Source organism: Homo sapiens, chromosome 1, assembly GCF_000001405.40.
Source record: "Homo sapiens chromosome 1, GRCh38.p14 Primary Assembly".
Classification (NCBI taxonomy): domain Eukaryota; kingdom Metazoa; phylum Chordata; class Mammalia; order Primates; family Hominidae; genus Homo; species Homo sapiens.
In genome coordinates, this window is record NC_000001.11 from 8,128,466 (window position 1) to 8,148,847 (window position 20,382).

At 47.0% G+C, this 20,382-nt stretch overlaps 1 long non-coding RNA gene across 3 annotated transcripts; it reads right to left on the reverse strand.

Annotated features, from left to right (window-relative positions):
- Positions 1–689: 689 nt before the first annotated feature.
- LOC107984915 (uncharacterized) lies at positions 690–19,179 on the reverse strand. 3 transcript variants are annotated; one of them, XR_001737893.1, is made up of 3 exons: positions 19,006–19,179; positions 9,386–9,677; positions 690–773 (listed from the first exon to the last, which is right to left on the reverse strand). It is a non-coding gene; the product is annotated as an uncharacterized LOC107984915 (long non-coding RNA). The 3 variants fall into 3 exon arrangements; XR_001737892.2 differs by lacking the exon at positions 690–773 and adding an exon at positions 15,049–15,172 and having other exon boundaries at positions 6,237–9,677; XR_007065453.1 differs by lacking the exon at positions 690–773 and having other exon boundaries at positions 6,237–9,677.
- Between the last annotated feature and the right edge of the window lie 1,203 nt (positions 19,180–20,382).

Genomic DNA, 20,382 nt, shown 5'->3' on the forward strand with positions numbered 1-20,382 from the left:
TTAGAGACTTTAAGAGTAGAAATATACCCCCAGATTTCTGTTAGCATTTCAAAAGGAAGCTTGAATCAATACTATTTGCTTCCACTAGAATTAATTCATAAACAAAACCAAAAACTCTCAAAACAATTGAGCCTGTAATTTATTTCCGTTGAAATTTTAATTTTACATTACATTGGCCGGGCGTGGTGGCTCATGCCTGTAATCCCAGCACTTTGGGAGGCCGAGGTGGTGGATCACCTGAGGTCAAGAGTTCGAGACCAGCCTGGCCAACATGGCAAAACGCCGTCTCTACTATAAATACAAAAATTAGCTGGGCGTGGTGGTGTGTGCCTGTAATCCGAGCTACTTGGGAGGCTGAGGCAGGAGAATCTCTTGAACCCGGGCGGCAGAGGTTGCAGTGAGCTGAGACTGCCCCACTGCACTCCAGCCTGGGCAACAGAGGGAGACTTTGTCTAAAAAAAAGAAAAAAAAATGGGTTACATTTATCCACCACTCACATGTTCAGTTGGGAAATGGTATGTGTTAGAAATTTTAAAAATAGAAGTAAGACCAGGACAACCACAGAAAGTTCTAACACAAAAGTATTAGTCCGTTCTCACACTGCTATAAAGAAATCCCTGAGACTGGCTACTTTATAATAAAAAGAGCTTTAATTGGCTCACGGTGCCGCAGGCTGTGCAGGAGGCATGGCTGGGGAGGCCTCGGGAAACTTATCATCATGGCGGAGGGCGGAGGGCGGAGGGGAAGCCGGCACATCTTACATTCTTACATGCCTGGAACAGCAGGAAGAGGGGTCAGGGAGGTGCTCCCCCCACTTTTTTTTTTTTTTTTTTTTTGAGACGGAGTCTCGTTCTGTCACCCAGGCTGGAGAGCAGTGGCGCGATCTTGGCTCACTGCAACCTCCGCCTCCCGGGTTCAAGCGATTCTCCTGTCTCAGCTTCCTGAGTAGCTGGGATTACAGGCAGGCGCTACCACACTCAGCAAATTTTTGTATTTTTAGTAAAGGTGGGGTTTCTCCATGTTGGCCAGGTTGGTCTTGAACTCTTGACCTCAGGTGATCCACCCGCCTCGGCCTCCCAAAGTGCTGGGATTACAGGCATGAGCCACCGCGCCCGGCCAGGTGCTACACACTTTTAAACAACCAGATCTCACAACAACTCCCTCACTATCACGAGAACAGCGCCAAAGGGGAAACCAACCCTATGATTCAATCACCTCCCACCGGGCCCTGCCTCCAACATTAGGGATTACAATTTGACATGAGATTTGGGTTGGGACACAGATCCAAACCATACCAACAAGCATCCAGAGCCTTGCATGGACTAAAATGTCTCCATCCCCGGCTTCTATTCTGGGGTAACTGCATGAGCACCTCAGAGATCAAACATCTCGAAGATGAGAGTGGCCTCATTTAGAAATCTGTGGCCATGTCCCAGTGAGATGTGCTTTCGGCAGGTATCTCAGCCAAATGACAACACTGGTATTTTATTTTATTTTATATTTTTAGGGAGAGGCTCTCACTCTGTCGCCCAGGTTGGAGCGCAGTGGCACGATCATGGTTTGCTACAGCTTCAAACTCCTGGGCTCAAGTGATCTTCCTGTCTCAGCCTCCAGAGTAGCTAGGACTACAGGCACACCACCACCTTGGCTAATTTTTAAAGTTTTTGTAGAGACTCAGAATATTGGGTCTTATTATGTTGCCCAGGCTGGTCTTGAACTCCTGGCTTCAAGCCATCCTCTCGCCTTGGCCTCCCAAAGTAGTAGGATTACAGGCGTCAGCCCCAACTCATGGCCAACATTAGTATTTTAGCATTTATTTCAGTATCAAAGTTCCACTTTAAAAAACATCAGTATAGGCTGGGCGTGGTGATTGATGCCTGTAATACCAGCACTTTGGGAGGTTGAGGCTGGCAGATTACTTGAGCTCAGGAGTTCAAGACCAGCCTGGGTCACATGCCAAAACCCCGTCTCTACAAAAAATACAGAAAATTAGCCAGGTGTGGTGGTGTGCTCCTGTAATCCCAGCTACTCAGGAGACCGAGGCAGGGGAATTGCTTGAAGCTGGGAGGTCGAGGCTTCAGTGAACTGAGATTGCGTCTCTGCACTCCAACCACCTGGGTGACAAACCAAGACCCCCTCTCTCTCTCTCAAAAAAAAGGGGGGGCTATTTTGGCCAGGTGCGGTGGCTCACGCCTGTAATCCCAGCACTTTGGGAGGCTGAGGTGGGCAGATCACTTGAGGTCAGGAGTTCAAGACCAGCCTGGCCAACATGGTGAAACCCCGTCTCTACTAAAAATACAAAAATTAGCCAGACATGGTGGCACGCACCTGTAATCCCAGCTACTCGGGAGGCTGAGACAGGAGAATTGCTTGAACCCAGGAGGCAGAGGTTGCAGTGAGCCAAGATCACACCACTGCACTCCAGCCTGGGTGACAGAGCAAGATCCTGTCTCAAAAAAAAAAAAAAAAAAAAAAGGGACATTTTATTGAAAACTTTTCAAATTCATGAAATGGAGAATAGAAAGATCAAAACTAAACATCTATAACACATCCCAGAGCATTTCTTGGAGCTTAGCTTATCTTGGCTTAGCTGCTTCCTTTATCTCCAGGGCACCCCCGGGGCCCTGACTAGCAGCTTTGTGACCCTCGAAACACACAGAGTGGTTCCACTGTCCCCCTTTGAGTGAGGGGCTTTGGTTTTGGGGTGGGGGCAAGAGGATTTGGTAGGGAATAGCAGGAGGAAAGTGATGATGACGGCTGGGGGGCTTGGGACAGGAGTGGGGAAAGGGATTGAGAAGAGAGCCAGAAATCTAAGCCAATTGCCCACTGTAGTCTAAAAGAATGGTGCTATACTCACAAACACACTGCTGTTTTTTCATTGTGGTGGTTGTTTTTTGAGACAGAGTCTCACTCTATCACCCAGGCTGGAGTGCAGTGGTGCAATCTCAGCTCACTGCAAACTCTGCCTCCCGGATTCAAGCGATTCTCATGCCTCAGCCTCCTGAGTAGCTGGGATTACAGGCGTGAGCCACCACACCCAGCTAATTTTTGTATTTTTAGTAGAGATGGGGTTTCACCGTGTTGGCCAGGCTGGTCTTGAATTCCTAACCTCAGGTAATCTGCCCACCTTGGCCTCCCAAAGTGTTGGGATTACAGGCGTGAGCCACCTGCCCGGCCCACACTGCTGTTTTGACACATGAAAATACTATGGTATCAAAGGGCCACGAGGAAACTACGAGGGTGATGGGTATGTTCACCGACTTGATGGTGGCAAATAGTTTTAGGGGTGAATTCATATGTCAAAAGTATCTACTCACCGTTAAGTGTTTATGTTTGTTTTATTCGATGTCTCAATAAAGCTGTCTATAAAAAACACTAAGGTATACAAGAATGCTAAAGCCTGTATTGCAGTTGCTAAAATGTGTCAAAATATAAACAGGTCTACCTGACACTGGGCTTTCTGTTGGGCATGGGGAGGGCCTGGGTTAGTAATTTATCTATAGGTCATGGGTGGCCTCAAGGATCTGAAAGGCCTCAGGTGAATTATTTTTATGGGGTCTGGCAATTAGTCTAGAGGTCCCCATTTTGTGCATTTAATTAACCCTTGAATGCAGGTGTCAGGGAGGAAAAACGTTGCCTCTACCCTCCTATGTTATATGATTAGGGGTCTGCGAATTAAACTACCAAAAGACAGGCCTGGCACAGTGGCTCACACCTGTAATCCTAGCATTTTGGGAGGCAGAGGTAGGAGGATCATTTGAGCCTAGGAGTTCGAGACCAGCCTGGGCAACATGGTAAGACCCCATCTCTACAAAATATACAAAAATTAGCCAGGTATGGTGGCACACGCCTGCAGTGCCAGCTACTCGGAAGACTGAGGTGGGAGGATAGCTTGAGCTTAAGAGGCGGAGGTTGCAATGAGCCAAGATAGAACCACTGCACTCTGTCTGGATGACAGAGCGAGACCCTGTCTCAAAAAAATGAAATAAAATAAAAGAGCAAAAAAAAAAAAAAAAAAAAACAGGTTAACAGGAGACAAAGCACACAATTTTTATAAACATTTACATGCATAAGAGTTTAAAAAAAAAAAGTGAAACTCAAAGAAGTGGTTAGGCTCAGGAATTTATACCATTTTAACAAAGAAAGGCAGGTTTGAGCTTGGAGAGACAACGGATCGTAGGAAAGTGACTAAGAAGCGTATGGGGACGAATGGGGAGTCAGGCGTTATTTCAGTAAGGGTCTCTTCATGTAGACTCATCTTGGAGCCAACCGCCTCTGGGGATGAGTGCTCTTCTCGTCCTCTGATGGGGGTGCAGGGACACCTTTACGGGGGAAATTGATGCCTGGCTTTCAGGCAGTGAAGGGGAGGGCAGAGAACTGTACTTGCTTGTCGATTCTCAAGTGCCTCCAGCTCAGAATAATCCTTAACGCCAAAGTGTGGTGGCACGCGCCTGCAGTCCCAGCTCCTTGGAAGGCTAAGGTGGGAGGATAGCTTGAGCTTAAAAGGTGGAGGTTGCAATGAGCATCCTATCTTTTAAAATTTTCTTTTAAATTCATTTTAATTTTTTAAATTAAAAATTTTTTTTATTTTTAATATTTATTATATAGAGATGGGATCTCACTGTGTTGCCCAGGCTGGTCTCGAACTCCTGGACTCAAGTGATCTGCCCACCTCAGCTTCTCAAAGTGCTGAGAGCCACTGCACCCGGCCTGGGGATGGCGTATTCTGAGTCCCTTCTCAGGGAAAACCATCAGCAAGTGAACATCACAGAGGGCTCTGTGTCTCTACTCCCCCCTCCCCCCGCCACCCCTGCCATTTTATTGGACTTGACTGTGGGACAAGGAGGTGTGGGAACCTGGGCCAGTCTGCCTTGAGGGTGACTGAGCTGGCACCCCTCTAGGGTTCGGCATTTTGCATATCTCCTCTTCCACGCCCTGGAGTCTCCATCCTCCTCCCTCTCTCTTGCCCTGGGCACCCGCACCTCCCCACAGATCATCTGCATTTCTGACTTCCTCCCTCTGTTCTCCTCCTGAGACTGGGTGCCAGGATCAGCTTTTGCATCTTTTAAAACCATATGCAGTATTTTCCCTCAAAGTTTGTTTCTCTAACGGGTTCACAGTTTTTCTGATTTACTGACTACACACTTTTATGAACACCGATCATTTATTTTTTCCAATACAAAATATTTTCTTCTGCTTAATATTTTCCATATAATATCTCCCTACTTTGAAAAACTTTTAAATAACCTCTTAAAAAAAAAAAGGAGTATGACTCAGAAGCCTTAAAAGCTGTGGCCACCAGCTGAGATCCTAAAATGACCCAACTGTGGAGCAGGGATAGAGTGAAATAAAATAAACCCCTTTCCAAGAAGCTCAGCCCTGGAGAAGAACATTTGTGAACAGAACTGTGGGCCTGTTGCCATTCTCCACCCTTCTGTTTGGGTTGGCCCCCATCCTACACGGTCATCTTCTCTCCTAACCAAAACAATGGCTGAGCTCATGGAGATTTTTACATTTTTCCTAAAAAGAAGTTTTATATCTCAATTAATATTTAAAATTCCAAGTTAGAAGGTACCTTTGGAAAAGTACATTCTTAGGTCAGAAACCCTGTCCTCTGAACACCACTTAAAATAACTCAACAGCCTGCACGAATCTGAGAATTCCAAGGTCATAGGTTTTTTTTAGCCTTGTTTGTAAGAACAACAAGACCAGCTCACACATGTCCAAGCGTATTACTCACAGTTAAAAGTAATAGTAAGATTTAATTGGTTTTCTTTTTTCTTCTGTGGTGTGTGTCTATTCATCAGCCTCTTGCCGCTCTAAGTTTTTCCTCCCTCCCTTAACCCACATCCTCAAGAAGAATTGAAGAATTTTCCAGTTATGCAATTTTGCCTGCAACTTTGCCTAGTGCTAGTCTGGAGTGGAGGAGGGGGTGGGGGATCTTCAGGTTCTGTTCCATTTCCTTAGCTCCCCCGACTCCGTAATTTGAAATCATGAACATTTTCGAACATACCAGAAACAGAGCAAATAGAACAATGAGCCCATCTTCCAACTCTAACAATCGTTACCATTTTTCAATGTTGTTTTGTTTAGTCTCCACGCTCCAGCCTCTTTCGTTTTGAAGTATTTTAAGCAAACCCTAGAAATAACATAATTTCACCCATAAATGCTTCAGTGTGTACCTACCACAGAGAATGTCTTGCCCCCAGTGTAATGCAATACTGCGATGAAGCTAATGCAATGAACAAAAACCCTTTAATAAGAACTGCTCCAGCCAGAGTGGACCCCAGGCAAGCATCTGGAGGCTGGCTCAGGGCCGTTGCTGGTCAGCAGAGTTGGTGGTCGGGGAGAAGTGGATGGGGACAGGAGAGTGGGGACAAGCTGGACTTCGTTGATACCTGTGTGTGTGTCTGTCATGCATCAAGTCTAAGAACTTTGGAGAGTCACGGCTGATGCTTCACGCAGCCTCCCGAATCCCACGACAGTGCCTCTTTGGGCCACCTCTTCACCCAGAACTCCACAGAGAAAGGGATGTGGAGGAATCTAGCTCCAGCTTCACCACAATGACGTGGTCCAAGCCACCACCACCCTTTCAGGCCCTGTCTGCTTTCCCATTTCCCTGCTTTCTCAATCATGGATTTTTACTGTTGGTTTGTACAGATTCGGAAACAAACAAAACACCAAGGTTGCCGCTGACTGTTCCGTCTCTTTTAATCTGCCACACTTCCTGCTCCATCTTTTCCCATGACATTGTTTCTTGATGTACCTGGGCCGTTTGCCCTGCAGAAATTCCCCATATCCGAATCTGGCCAGTTCTATGCTCCTGGTATAATGGTGGTTGGCTCTCGAGGCTTGATAAGGTTCAAGGTTTTGTTTTTGCTGTTTTGTTTTGTTAGCTTTTTGTTTTGTTTGTTTTGAGACAGGGTCTCGCTCTATTGCCCAGGCTGAAGTGCAGTGGCATGGTCTTAGCTCACTACAACCTCTGCCTCCTGGGGTCAGGTGGTCCTCCCGCCTAAGCTACCTGAGTAGCTGAGATTACAGGATTGCGCCAACATGCCCAGTTCATTTTTGTAGTTTTTTTTAGAGACGGGGTTTCACCATGTTGGCCAGGCTGCTCTCCAGCTCTTCAGCTCAAGTGATCAGCCCTCCTTGGCTTCCCAAAGTGCTGGGACCACTGCGCCCAGCCTGAGGTTCTTAGTTTTTTAACTCCCTTTGGGTTCCAAGTCTTGTCCAGGTCATAGGTGGCTGGGAGAAGCCAGGGAACAGTCAGTGGGCTACCTGGACTTTACTGAGCTTCCTTAACCACTGTGTGTGAATTGTCCCAGGTAGGGAAACTGCATAAATTCCATTGTTACAATTGGCTCTGTATCCACCTTGGAAATAGCTAGCTCAGTGTTTCTTCTTTCGGCTTGATGAATCTTCCACGCCTGGTAGTGCCTGTCTCACTTTAGATACCAACTGTAGTGTTTCAGTTGGATGAATGTCCAGTGGGAAGGAACCACATCTCTCCCCACCCTGTACGACAACTCTAGGTTCTCTGTTTAACAAAGGACATGGAAACTTATGGAAGTGGGACCCCTCTCACCAGGGTGGAAGCAGATGAAACACATTTCAGTGTAGCTTCTAGAGACCCACGGTGGCCTCTCCATGGATTCCCTAATGCGGCCGATTAACATTGTCCATGCGTTTTGCTATGTCCTTTAGCTTGTTTAGCCTGGTCTTATTGTCACAGTTCAAGAAGAACTTGCTCTAGCAATCTGTGACTTTTGTTCAAGATAATTTTTATCAACATTGAACTCTCCTCTTTCTTGAACCAAACTCAGCTTCAGCAAGCCCACATCCTCATCAGGGAAGAGAAGTCAGACTGAGTGCCTCAGTTTCCCCAAGCTCCATCTCTGCCGAAATTCCCACTGTTTTGGAAAGCCTCTTTCTCTGAAGTTGTTTACTCTCCAGCTCTGAACTGATGAGCTTTAGGATGAATGTTTGATACAGAGCTTGATGGGAGGATCATGATCCCACCATGTGATTTTTACATTAATCCTTTAAGATTTTCACTGAAGGCCAGGTGGCTCACGCCTGTAATCCCAGCACTTTGGGAGGCTGAGGCGAGAGCACTGCTTGAGCCCAGGAGTTCGAGACCAGCCTGGGCAACATGTGAAACCCTGTCTCTACAAAAAATACAAAAATTAGCCAGGTATGGTGGTGTGCACCTGTAGTCCCAGCTACTCAGGAGGCTGAAGTGGGAGGATCACTTGAGGTCCAGGAGGTCGAGGCTGCAGTGACCTAGGATCACCCCCACTACACTCTAGACTGGGTGACAGAGTGAGACCCTGTCTCAAAAATAAATAAATAAATAATAAAACAATGATGATATTTTTGAAAAGACCTCATGGATTGGTGAGAACACATCTACAGGCCAGAGCTCCACCAAGTGTGATTTCAAAACCCCAATCTGCCGTTCCACTTGTGTTTTGACAGAAGAATATGTGTTAGAGATAAGACAGAGCTCTCAGGAAGCCAGATCAAGGCTGACAGGGACAGGCGCCTCTCCTATGCACTAGGCTCACCAGTTAGAGTGTAATGGAAGCAAAAGGGAATGTACTAGAAGGGTCTCTTGGACTCATCCAACAGATGTGAGGTTGAGGCACTGAGTTTGAAAAGGGGCGGAAATTGGCCAGGCGCGGTGACCCACACCTGTAATCCCAACACTTTGGGAGGCCGAGGTGGGCAGATCACGAGGTCAGGAGATTGAGACCATCCTGGCTAACATGGTGAAACTCCGTCTCTACTAAAAAAGTAAAAAAAAAATTAGCTGGGCATGGTGGCGGGCACCTGTAGTACCAGCTACTCGGGAGGTTGAGGCAGGAGAACGGCGTGAACCCGGGAGGCGGAGCTTGCAGGGAGCGGAGATCAGGCCACTGCACTCCAGCCTGGGTGACAGAGTGAGACTCCGTCTCAAAAAAAAAAAAGAAAAAAAGGGGTGGAAATCATGTAGTTCCAGAAAGCTAGCAGCTCCGCATTCTTGCTGGGAGGCAGGTGCTTGGATTTGAGATTTCATCGGATTCCCTCAAAGGGGATGAGGGAAATTCATAAAAGGAAATTCAGATGCTCTAAGGATGGAAGAATGGCTAGAAAGCAACTGAAACCCAACAAAAATCCACAGCAGCAGGCAACTCAGACGAGTGTCTGTAATTTAAGTAGAAGGAGAAGCGCCAGCTTTCTTGTATCATGAAAACGTTTACAGTTTCTGGGCTTAGAAGAAAAAAGCCCTAAAACCTTGAGGATAAAGGAATTCATTTTCTAAAATTCAGTTCTATAAACAACACTGTGAAAGGCCAGAGGAAGGTTATCAGATGGGATATTTGTGTTTAATTTCTCAACTTACCACAATCCAGGAGCAGATTTATAGTCATTGGTTGGGAATGTGTCAGCGAGCACCCGAGGTCAGGGAAATGTGGTCTTTTGCATTTTGAAACACAGAACTGTATGTTTCTTCAGCTGCCGATTTACCAGCTCTCCGGAGACAATAGGCTGAGTTCATTTTGGCTGAGGGACACCGTGACTGACCGATTCTCTCTGGTCGCAGAAATCACGGCTTTCCTTGTTCAGGACATCTGACCAGCATTAGGGACTGGTGAGTCAGTCAGCTGTAAAGGATGGTTCCTCCAACTGGGGATCTGAGAGATCAGCAAAAAGGGATTTGGGAGGAAATGAAGTTTGTCATGCTGGGCCAGAGTGGTCATATCATTAGAGGCAGAAAAGTGTCTGCTTCCATTTCTGTTTGTTAAAAATAATTAAACACCTTGGGAGTCTCAGAGAGGTGCTCAGCCCGGAGTCCTTACAGCTGTCCTCAGGTTGCCGGTCCATAGCTGACCCCTACGGAAGCTCATGGACACCTGAAATTCGTTTTCATTTATAAATGTACACCCATAATGAATCTCTGATGAAAGGAAACTTAAGGAACACTGATGACGAAAAGAAAGGCCATCGATGAGAAGAGAATAATAAAATTTCTACAAGTTGGCTGTAACATGAGTTTTCCCAGGCTTTTTGTTTGTTTTGTTTTGGAGACAGGGTCTTGCTCTGTCACCCAGGCTGGAGTGCAGTGGCGCATTTCTGCTCACTTGCAATCTCCACCTTCTGGGTTCAGGTGATCCTCCCACCTCGGCCTCCCGAGTAGCTGGGACCGCAGGCACATGTCACCATGCCTGGCTAATTTTTTGTATTTTTTGTAGAGGTGGGGGTCTCGCCATGTTGCCCAGCTGGTCTCAAACTCCTAGACTCAAGTGATCCTCCCGCCTTGTCCTCCCAAAGTGCTGGGATTACAGGCATGAGCCACGGTGCCTAGCCCTTCTCAGCTTTCTTAGCTCTTTCCTTCTCATCAAAATTAGACTTCTCCAGGCAAGGCGTGGTGGCTCACACTTGTAATTGAGCAATTTGGGGGTGCCCAGGCAGAAGGATCCCTTGATCCCAGAAGTTCAAGACCAGCCGGGACAATGCAGTGAGACCCTATAAAAGAAAAAAAAAGTTGTAAAGAAAGAAACAAGAAAATTAAACTTGTCCAGTATTAAAAACTAAAAATATAATGACAACGATGTACAATTTTGCTTGTCATTCTTTAGGAATAAAGATTACCCATATCCGTGATGTGTTATTTGCTGAGGCGTTCTTGCAGCTTGCAGCCTGAAACTTTCTCTCTTAACTTGCCATTTAGAAGTAAAATGTGGAATTTACATATATAAAAAACTTCAGTTCTTAAAAATTCAGTGTTTAAAAACTGACATGCAAAAACTTCCAAACAATTTATAAAACCAGTTTTTGTGGCTGGGCGCGGTGGCTCACGCTTGTCATCCCAGCACTTTGGGAGGCCGAGGCAGGTGGATCACTTGAGGCCAGAAGTTTGAGACCAGCCCAGCCAACATGGCGAAACCCGTCTCTACTAAAAATACAAAAATTAGCCGGGCAAATACAAAAATTAGCTGGGCATGTTGGCGCACCTGTAATCCCAGCTACTTGGGAGGTTGAGGCACAAGAATCACTTAAAGCCGGGAGGCAGAGGTTGCAGTGAGCTGAGATCACATCACTGCACTCCAGCCTTGGCAACAGAGTGAGATTCCATCTCAAAAAAACATAAAACAAATAAATAAAATAAAACCAGTTTTATCTTTCTTTTTTGATGCCATAAGATGTATTTAACTTTGAATTTACATTTGCCACAAAATATGTCACTTAAAAATTCATTGAGGAATCAGACTTTTCTTAACGTAATTAAGTAAAAGTAAATTAAACAGCATGTGTCTCTTCTTAAATGTGATAAAATTGAAATACGTGTTTTTATGTAAATTGGGTTTTTGTTGTTGTTGTTGCAGTAGAAATTGACCAATTCCAACAGTGGGGGATGGTGTGGGGGTTTCAGCCCCTGACACGCACTACACCCCCCAAAAGAACCAACGAAAATGAACTCCAATCCGAAAAGGACAGCCTCTTGCTGCGCGAATGCTGCGTGCAACGTTGCTATGTTTCTTTGCCTCACTCTGTGCCAGAATGCGGCCCCTCTAGCCCTTGGAAAACCTGGAGCTACCACTAAAGCCAACAATGGCCACTGAAGGCACAAAAGGCTCTATGTGGTGGACGAGGGGGACTCAAGAACGGGGAAACTGGAGCCGCCAGGCCTCAGAACAGCCCCAGGGAATCCAGGGAGCAGGAACTACCAGGTGATCTCTTTAGAAGTCCAAGCTCCCCTTTACTCAGAGCTGTTGATATGAGTTGCCAAATTGCCTTCTAGAACAAATCTAGGAGTCTTGTGCCTTGGGCCATGTGCTTCTTCTGCAGCCGCTCTAAGCCGACTCCCTGACCGTCTCTTTTTCTGTGGTCTCAGCCCTACCCCAGGTTCCGCGTATGGGTCTACCAGAACCTTGACCTCCCTAAGGTGTCTGGCATGGGGACACGGCCACCCAGTCATGATTAGTGGGCTCTCCCCGACTCTACCTCTCTTGCGACAAGTTAGTCTTGAGGCCAGACATCCCCCAGGATTGCTGCTCCTGGCCCTTCCATGTGGGAGACACTGCTACTTGCCTACTTGGTAACCATTCCCTCGTTTTGCCTAATTGTCAGAAGCCCAATTTTGCTCAGGGTGGCACCACGGCCAGCTAAAATTTCTACCTGTAGGCCAGGTGTGGTGGCACACACCTGTAGCCCCAGCTACTCGGGAGGCTGAGGTAGTAGAATCACTTGAACCCGGGATGCAGAGGTTGCAGTGAGCTGAGATCGAGCCACTGCACTCCAGCCTGGAAGACAGAGTGAGACTCCATCTTGAAAAATAAATAAATAAGTACATAAGTAAATAAATAAATAAATAAAAAGCTGGGCGTGGTGGCTCACACCTATAATCCCAGCACTTTGGGACGCCAAGATGGGTGGATCACCTGAGGTCAGGAGTTCAAGACCAGCCTGGCCAATATGGTGAAACCCTGTCTCTACCAAAAATACAAAAAATTAGCTGGACATGGTGGCAGGCACCTGTAATCCCAGCTACTCGGGAGGCTGAGGCAGGAGAATGGCTTGAACCTGGGAGGCGGAGGTTGCGGTGAGCTGAGATCGCGCCATTGCACTCCAGCCTGGGCGATGAGAGCTAAATTCTGTCTCAATAAATAAATAAATAAAATAAAACAAAATGTCCACCTTTCCCAAGGCCTTTGCAGCTAGGGATGGCCAAGTAAAATGGTTCTGAGTTGTGCAAGAGATCAGCCAGGCATTCCTGGAAGTTCTTTGCTTTTGCGGTATAGTACCACCTTGCCCTCCTTCTCCTGGTCTTTATCTCCCTGCTTGGAATATGGATATGAAGCTGGAGCTGGAGCAGCCATCTTAAGCCCATGAGGTGAAAAAAACATGAAGCCAAAAGTCACATACGGCCGGGCTTGGTGGCTCATTCCTGTAATGCCAGCACTTTGAGAGGCCAAGGCAGGAGGACTGCTTGAGGCCAGGAGTTCAATATCAGCCTGGGCAACATAGCAAGATCCCATCTCTACAAAAAAATAAAATTAGCTGGGCGTGCCTGTAGTCCTAGCTACTGGTGAGGTTGAGGCGGGAGGATCACCTGAGCCCAGGGGATTGAGGCTGCAGTGAGTGGTAATCTCACCACTGCACTGCAGCCTGGGTGACAGAGCAAGACCTTGTCTCAAAACAAAGCAAAAGTCACATGCTAAGGGTGGTGAAGCAGGAAGAATGGTATGTCATAGAGGTCAGGCCTGGCCCTAACCTTTGGAGACCCAGGGCAAGAGTACAAATGGAGGCCTACAGAGGGTGTCTGAATTTTAAAAAGTATCAAGCAAGTGAACAGACAAACAAAAAATATGTTCTCTATTCCCATCTTAACAACACATTTCATCATGGCAAAATTTTAAAAATATATGTGAGGTCATGGTTTTTATGTGTCAGCAAAATATGAAAGTCAACCAAATATTTCAGCACACTTCTCTGTATTCCAGTGCAAATTAGTTCATCGGGAATTATGATTCAGAATCTTACTGTGTTTTATTTTTATTTTTTGAGAGGGAATCTCACTCTGTCACCAGGCTGCAGTGCAGTGGCGCAATCTTGGCTCACTGCAACCTCTGCCTCCCGAGTTCAAGTGATTCTCCTGACTCAGCCCCCTGAGTAGCTGGGATTGCAGGTGCCTGCCACCACGCCTGGCTAATTTTTGTATTTTTAGTAGAGATGGGGTTTCACCATGTTGGCCAGGATGGTCTCGAACTCTTGACCTCGTGATCCTCCTGCCTCGCCCTCCCAAAGTGCTGGGATTACAGGTATGAGCCACAACGCCCGGCCTCTTACTGTGTTTTAGAATCAGCTTTTTGAGCACTAGTTATCACGGTAGAGGGGTGTGGACATAAGGATATAAGATGAGACCTATTTGAACAAATAACCCAATAAACCGGGATATAGCCTGGAAGGTTATTTTTGTTTGTTTTTGTTTTTTTGTTTTTTTAAGTAAATCTTAGATTGGATGCAGTGGCTGATGCCTGTAATCCCAGCACTCTGGAAGGTTGAGGCAGGAGAATCACTTGAGCCCAGGTGTTCGAGACCAGCCTGGGCAATATAGTGAAACCCTGTCTGTACAAAAAATTAAAAAAAAAAATAGCTGGGCATAGTGGTGCATGCCTGTAGTCCCAGCTACATGGGAGGCTGAGGTGGGAGGATCGCTTGAACCCAGGAGGTTGAGGCTGCAGTGAGCTGTGATTGTGGCACTGTGCTCCAGCCTGGGCAACAGAGCCAGACCGTGTCTCAATAAAATAAATAAATGAATAAATTAATTAAATAAAGTAATTCTTAAATTTGGGCTTAGTTCATTATGATTTATGTTATTTTCAAGGAGAAAAAAAACACCCTTTAATTCTTCTTAGTTGGGAAGATATTTTTGGCCTGATCTAAATGATGGCAATTTTATTCCATTTGTACATCTTGTACAGTGCTATGGAATCTGAGCTAAGCCAAAATAATTATGAAAACAGCTTCATAAGATAAAGTTTAAAGAAGTTCTTTATAAAGACACATGATGGATGATAGCTTTCCCTTTTCTAAATGGCAGTTGCACAGGTCATGCAGAAGGCAAACTTAATAGGTAGCTATTATGTCAAACCTCAAAGAACTTTGAATTCCGTGGTGGCGGATTCTCTGACCTCACCACCGACATGCAGAGACTTAAATCTTCTAGTGGTTTCAGATTCAGAAATGTAGTCTTTCCATAGCCCTCTTCCTGTGAGTTGTCAATGGAAAATGCTTCCAGAATTATTGTCTCACAGGCAGCTATGCTTCAGGATAGCGGTTGAAAGTGTACAAGGGTTCAAACTGCATCCAAGAGGGTTGAAGTGCACAGAGCAGAAGCTTTTAGGTGACAGTTCTTATTGATGGCCGCAAGTCTAGAAAACCCTACTATGCCTGTGGGACCAGCCTGGCCTCAATCTGTAGCCTTAATTCTGTGAGTTCCTGTCTATTTCTACTTCTGGTCTAGACTGAGCTCCTGCCACAGGCTGCCGCTGGGGCACTCACCTCCTGTATCGTGCTACTGGCAGGGTTCTCTTTTTCCTAAGAGACTTGGTCTCTTCTTTGTTTTTTGTTTTCCAAGGGAAGAATGAGGTCTTCATTTTTCTATCACCAGTACCTACAAGTGTACCTAGCATAAAGAGTAAGGTGGTTTTTAAAACTGGTATATAATAATTATACATATTTTAGGCTGAGCACAGTGGCTCACGCCTGTGATCCCAGAACTTTGGGAGGATGAGGTGGGTGGATCACTTGAGGTCAGGAGTTTGAGACCAGCCTGGCAAACATGGTGAAACCCCCTCTCTACTAAAAATACAAAAATCATCTGGGCGTGGTGGTGCATGCCTGTAATCCCAGCTACTTCGGAGGCTGAGGCTTGAGAATCGCTTGAACCTGGGAGGCAGAGGTTGCAGTGAGCCAAGATCACGCCACTGCACTCCAGCCTGAGCGACAGAGCAAGACTCTGCCTCAAATAATAATAATTATTATTATTATACATATTTTGTATGTACACATGATATTTTGATTCATACATACAATGTATAATGATCAAATCGGAGTAACTGGGATATCTTTCATCTCCAGCATTTATCTTTTATGTTGAGAACATTCCCATTGCGCTCTTGTCACTATTTTGAACTCTGCAACACATTACTGTTAACCATAGTCACCCCACTGTGCTGTCGAACACCAGAACATATTCCTTCTATCTGACTGTGTTTTTGTACCTGTGTTTGTACCAACCTCTCTTCATCTCTCCTCCTCCCCTTTCCCAGCTTCTGGTAACCATCAATCCAGTCTCCATCTCCATGAGACCTACTTTTCTGGCTCCCACATGAGTAAGGATGGCGTCTTCCACCCTCCAGTTTTCACTGCGCTCAAGTTGCTTTCTGTCTCCCATTGCCCTGCTCTTGCCTTGTTCTGTGCACCCTTTGCTCCGGCTCACCACGTGGAAGCCCTCAGCCCCTGGAGATGCTGAATGCCAGAGACGCAGCTGTGCAGGCGCACACAGAAGGCGCCGGCTGACCCGGCTCAGGGAGACAGAATCCACACGTGGGAGAAGGGAAGCGTGTGTGTGTGTGTGTGTGTGTGTGTGTGTGAGATGGATGGAATTGTGTCCCTCTCCGGCCCCAAATTCATAGGTGGGAGCCCTAATCTCCAACGTGATTGTATTTGGAGATAAGGCCTTTAAGAATGTAATTAAGGCTAAATGAGTGGGGGTTCTAATTTGTGTGGGGACCTAATCCAGTAGAACTGATGTCCTTAGAAAAAGGAAGAGATGAGCTGCCGGGAGATGCTCATGAACAAGTTCTTTTTCTTCAGGGGGTGAAGAAAGTCCAGGCGTTCGTTTACTCTAGAGCTATGGGTCAGAAAGGGGTTTCAGCATCAGCGTCTGCAACCTTTGTATAACAGAGGATAAGGCCGGGCGCGGTGGCTTATGCCTGTCATCCCAGCACTTTGGGAGGCTGAGGCGGGCGGATCATGAGGTCCGGAGGTCAGCACCATCCTGGTTAACAAGGTGAAGCCCCATCTCTACTAAAAATACAAAAAAATTAGCCAGGCATGGTGGCAGGCGCCTGTAGTCCCAGCTACTCGGGAGGCTGAGGCAGGAGAATGGCGTGAACCCGGGAGGCAGAGCTTGCAGTGAGCCAAGATCGTGCCACTGCACTCCAGCCTGGGCGACAGAGCAAGACTCCGTCTCAAAAAACAAACAAACAAACAAGCAAACAACAACAACAACAAAAACAGAGCACAAAATCAGTGATGGAGAATTAAACTCTTTAGAAGGCTGGTTCAGCCTGGTGCGGTGGCTCATGCCTGTCATCCCAGCAGTTTGGGAGGTCGAGGCAGAAGGATCACTTGAGCCTAGGGGTTCAAGACTAGCCTGCGCAACATGGCAAAACCCCATCTCTACAAAAAAAAAAAATAATTAGCTGGGCATGGTGGCTTGCGCCTGTAGACCCAGCTACTCAGGAACCTGAGGTGGTAGGATCGCTTGAACCCAGGAGGTGGACGTTGCAGTGAGCCGAGATGGCACCGCTGCACTCCAGCCTGGGTGACAGAGAGAGACTCTGTCTCGAAAAAAAAGAAGAAAACAAGAAAAAGAAAGAGACACTAGGGGTGCTTGTGCCCTAAGTAAAGGTCATATGAGGGCACAGCGAGAAGGCGGCCATCTGCACACCAGGAAGAGAGCCCTCATCCTGATGGCACCTTGCTCTTGATCTCCAGTTCCCAGGACTGTGAGAAAATAAATTTCTGTGGTGGAGGCCACCCAGACTGTGGTCAGCCCGAGCAGAAGAATACAGTGTGGTTTTCCCCCAGTTCCTTTCTCATTTAAATCTAGTACATGCTTCCCTGAGCTCTTCCTTGCCAGGCTATAAGAATTTAGCTGTACCACAAGTTTAAACATATAGGTTATTTCATGTTTGGTTCTATGTTTTTCTCCTTACCCTGGTAACTGTATGCGAATTAACTTTTGGGAGGGTGTGGGGACTGTAGAAGGGAATGCTCTAAGGGGAGGCCAACAAATAGCTGAGTTTGTCTGTTTGGCTTGAGGGAATACGGATTGAGCAGATGATTATAATGGTGACACCTCTGATTAGCACCTTCCAGTTCACAAACACCCACCCAGGAGTGATCACATTGGTGCCTCCTATTAACTCTGGGAGGTACGCAGCCTAGATAATAGCATGTCTGTTTTAGAGGTGGTACAACCGAGGCTTGGAGAGGCAGATGCCTTGGCCAGGATCATAGCTGCCAGTGCGTGTCAGAATCAGGACTCCCAGCCACATGGTGAAGATGAGAGTGCGTCCCTGTGTGGTGCTGTGTGAAGGGGTATTTGGGGAAGTTATGGCAATGAACTGGATTATATTGTATCATTCACAGAGGTTCCAGAAGGAGAGGTGTCCACCCGGGCCACTGCCTGCAGATCTGCGTCCCCCCCGCCATGTGGGCTGAAGGCCGTCTCCTCCATGGCCTTGCACCTTGCTCGGGACTCCTGTGACCCTTTATCTGTGACCCTTTTTCAAAACAACAAATATTTTCATAGAAACAGATCATTCGTTATCTCTCTGGGTCATTTCTAAAAAGGTTTTTTTTTTCTTTTTTTTGAGACAGGGTCTTGCTCTGTTGCCCAGGTTAAAGTGCAGCGGTGCTATCTTGGCTCACTGCAGCCTCAACCTCCTGGGATCCTCCCACCTCAGCCTCCCAAGTAGCTAGGACTGTGGGAATGCACCACCACACCTGGCTAATTTTTGTATTTTTTGTAGAGATGGGGTTTTGCCCTGTTACCCAGGCTGCTCTCGAACTCCTGAGCTCAAGCAATCAGCCCGGCCTCCCAAAGTGCTGGGATTACAGGCGTGAGCCACTGTGCCCGGCCTAAAAAGTCTTGTTTGGTTTTTAAACTCTGGGTAAAAGAAGCCACTTATGGCCAGGCACGAGGGCTCATGCCTGTAATCCCAGCACTTTGGGAGGCCGAGGTGGGCGGATCACGAGGTCAGGAGATTGAGACCATCCTGGCTAACATGGTGAAACCCTGTCTCTATTAAAAATACAAAATATTAACTAGGAGTGGTGGCGGGCGCCTGTAGTCCCAGCTGCTTGGGAGGTTGAGGCAGGAGAACAGCTTGAACCTGGAAGGCGGAGGTTGCAGTGAGCCAAGATTGCACCACTGCACTCCAGCCTGGGCGACAGAGCCAGACACCTTCTCAAAAAAAAAAAAAAAACAAGAGAAAAGAAAAAAAAATGCCATTTAATTTGGCTTTGCTTGGGTTTAGTTTTGAGATTGGCAGATAATACCTTGTTTCTCCTATTACATCTTGGAAATCCCCCTCAATGCATGAAGAACAAGAAAGAAAACACAAAGTCAATCCTAGATACAGCTGGGAGAGGTTCGTATAACAGCTAAGGAGGATGAAGACGGCGCCGAGGGAAGCGAAGTGGCCCAGAAAGCAAGCAGCTCACCTGGGATGGCTCAGGCATGGGAGTGGCCATTGTCTGTGGGAAGACCAGGGTGGGCTGGGGCTGAAAACAGCAGGATTTTTATGAAGAGCAATTAGATGCTGCCCACTCACTTCTCAGAGCATAGCTGGGTTCTTGCCCGGGCTGCACTGAATCACCTGAGGGGCTTTAAAAATGCTGACGCCCAGGCCTACCCCCCATAACCACCCCCCACCCCCGCCACTATGACTTATCTGATTGGAGAGTCTGGGGGGAAGAAACCGGTCCCACTCCTTTGCCCTTCCCTATCTGTCCTTCGGGTTCTGCTGGCCCTCAGAGAGCAAGTGCTCAGGTGCTCCCATCCGCTCTCGCCCATCTGGAGAGCCTGCCATTTTCCAGCCAGGCTGAGTGGGTGAACTTAATTCTAGGGTGCGGTGGGAGCATGCGCCCTTGGCCAGGAGACAAGAAGCCACCTTCTCCAAACAGCCGCAGCAGTCAGGGAGCTGATGTTTTGATCTCTGTCTCTCTGACTCCAGCACTCATCTCTCAATTACTCTGCATGTTTTCTCAGGAAGCTACTGGGAGATGTGGCCCATCAGAATGAGGGAGTATCCAAGAATAACCAGGAACAAGGAAGACAGGAAATCCCAGAAACAAGGGCTTGAACAGTGAGCCCAGGGAATTTCCAGGGTGAGGGTGCAGTGGTGAAGGGAAATCCAAGGACAAACTTGTGTGGCAGCGAAGGGAACAGACAGCTAAGCCAGGGCCAGGGGGCCTGAAGACACAAGTGGGACAGATGGATGGTCAGATGGGTCTAACCACATGGAATGACAGGCTGTCAAGGACTGTGGGGAGACAGGTCCAAATAAAACTAAATAAATTCAAATATAAGGCAACTACTAACTTTGGGGCGAACAAAAAGTTGTAGAAGCAGTAAACAATATTCACACCGTCCTAATAGTATAAATATTGAATGCCGACGTAACCACAGATAGGGAAGATAACATTGTAACTGCATTAGAAAGATGGGGTGGGGACAAGAGCACGAAATCCTCTGATAGGGGCCGGGTGCGGTGGCTCACGCCTATCATTCCAGCACTTTGGGAGGCCAAGGTGGGGGATCACTTGTGGTTAGGAGTTCGAGACCAGCCTGACCAACATGGTGAAACCCCGTCTCTACTAAGAAAAAGAGAAAAATTAGCCAGGCGTGGTGGTGACTGCCTGTAATCCCAGCTACTCGGGAGGCTGAGGCAGGAGAATCTCTTAAACATGGGAGGTGGAGGTTGCAGTGAGCCAAGATGGCGCCACTGCACTCCAGATTGGGCAACAGAGAGAGACTCCATCTAAAAAAAAAAAAAAATCCTCTGATAGGAAGATGGTAGATGATGTCTAAAATAGAGA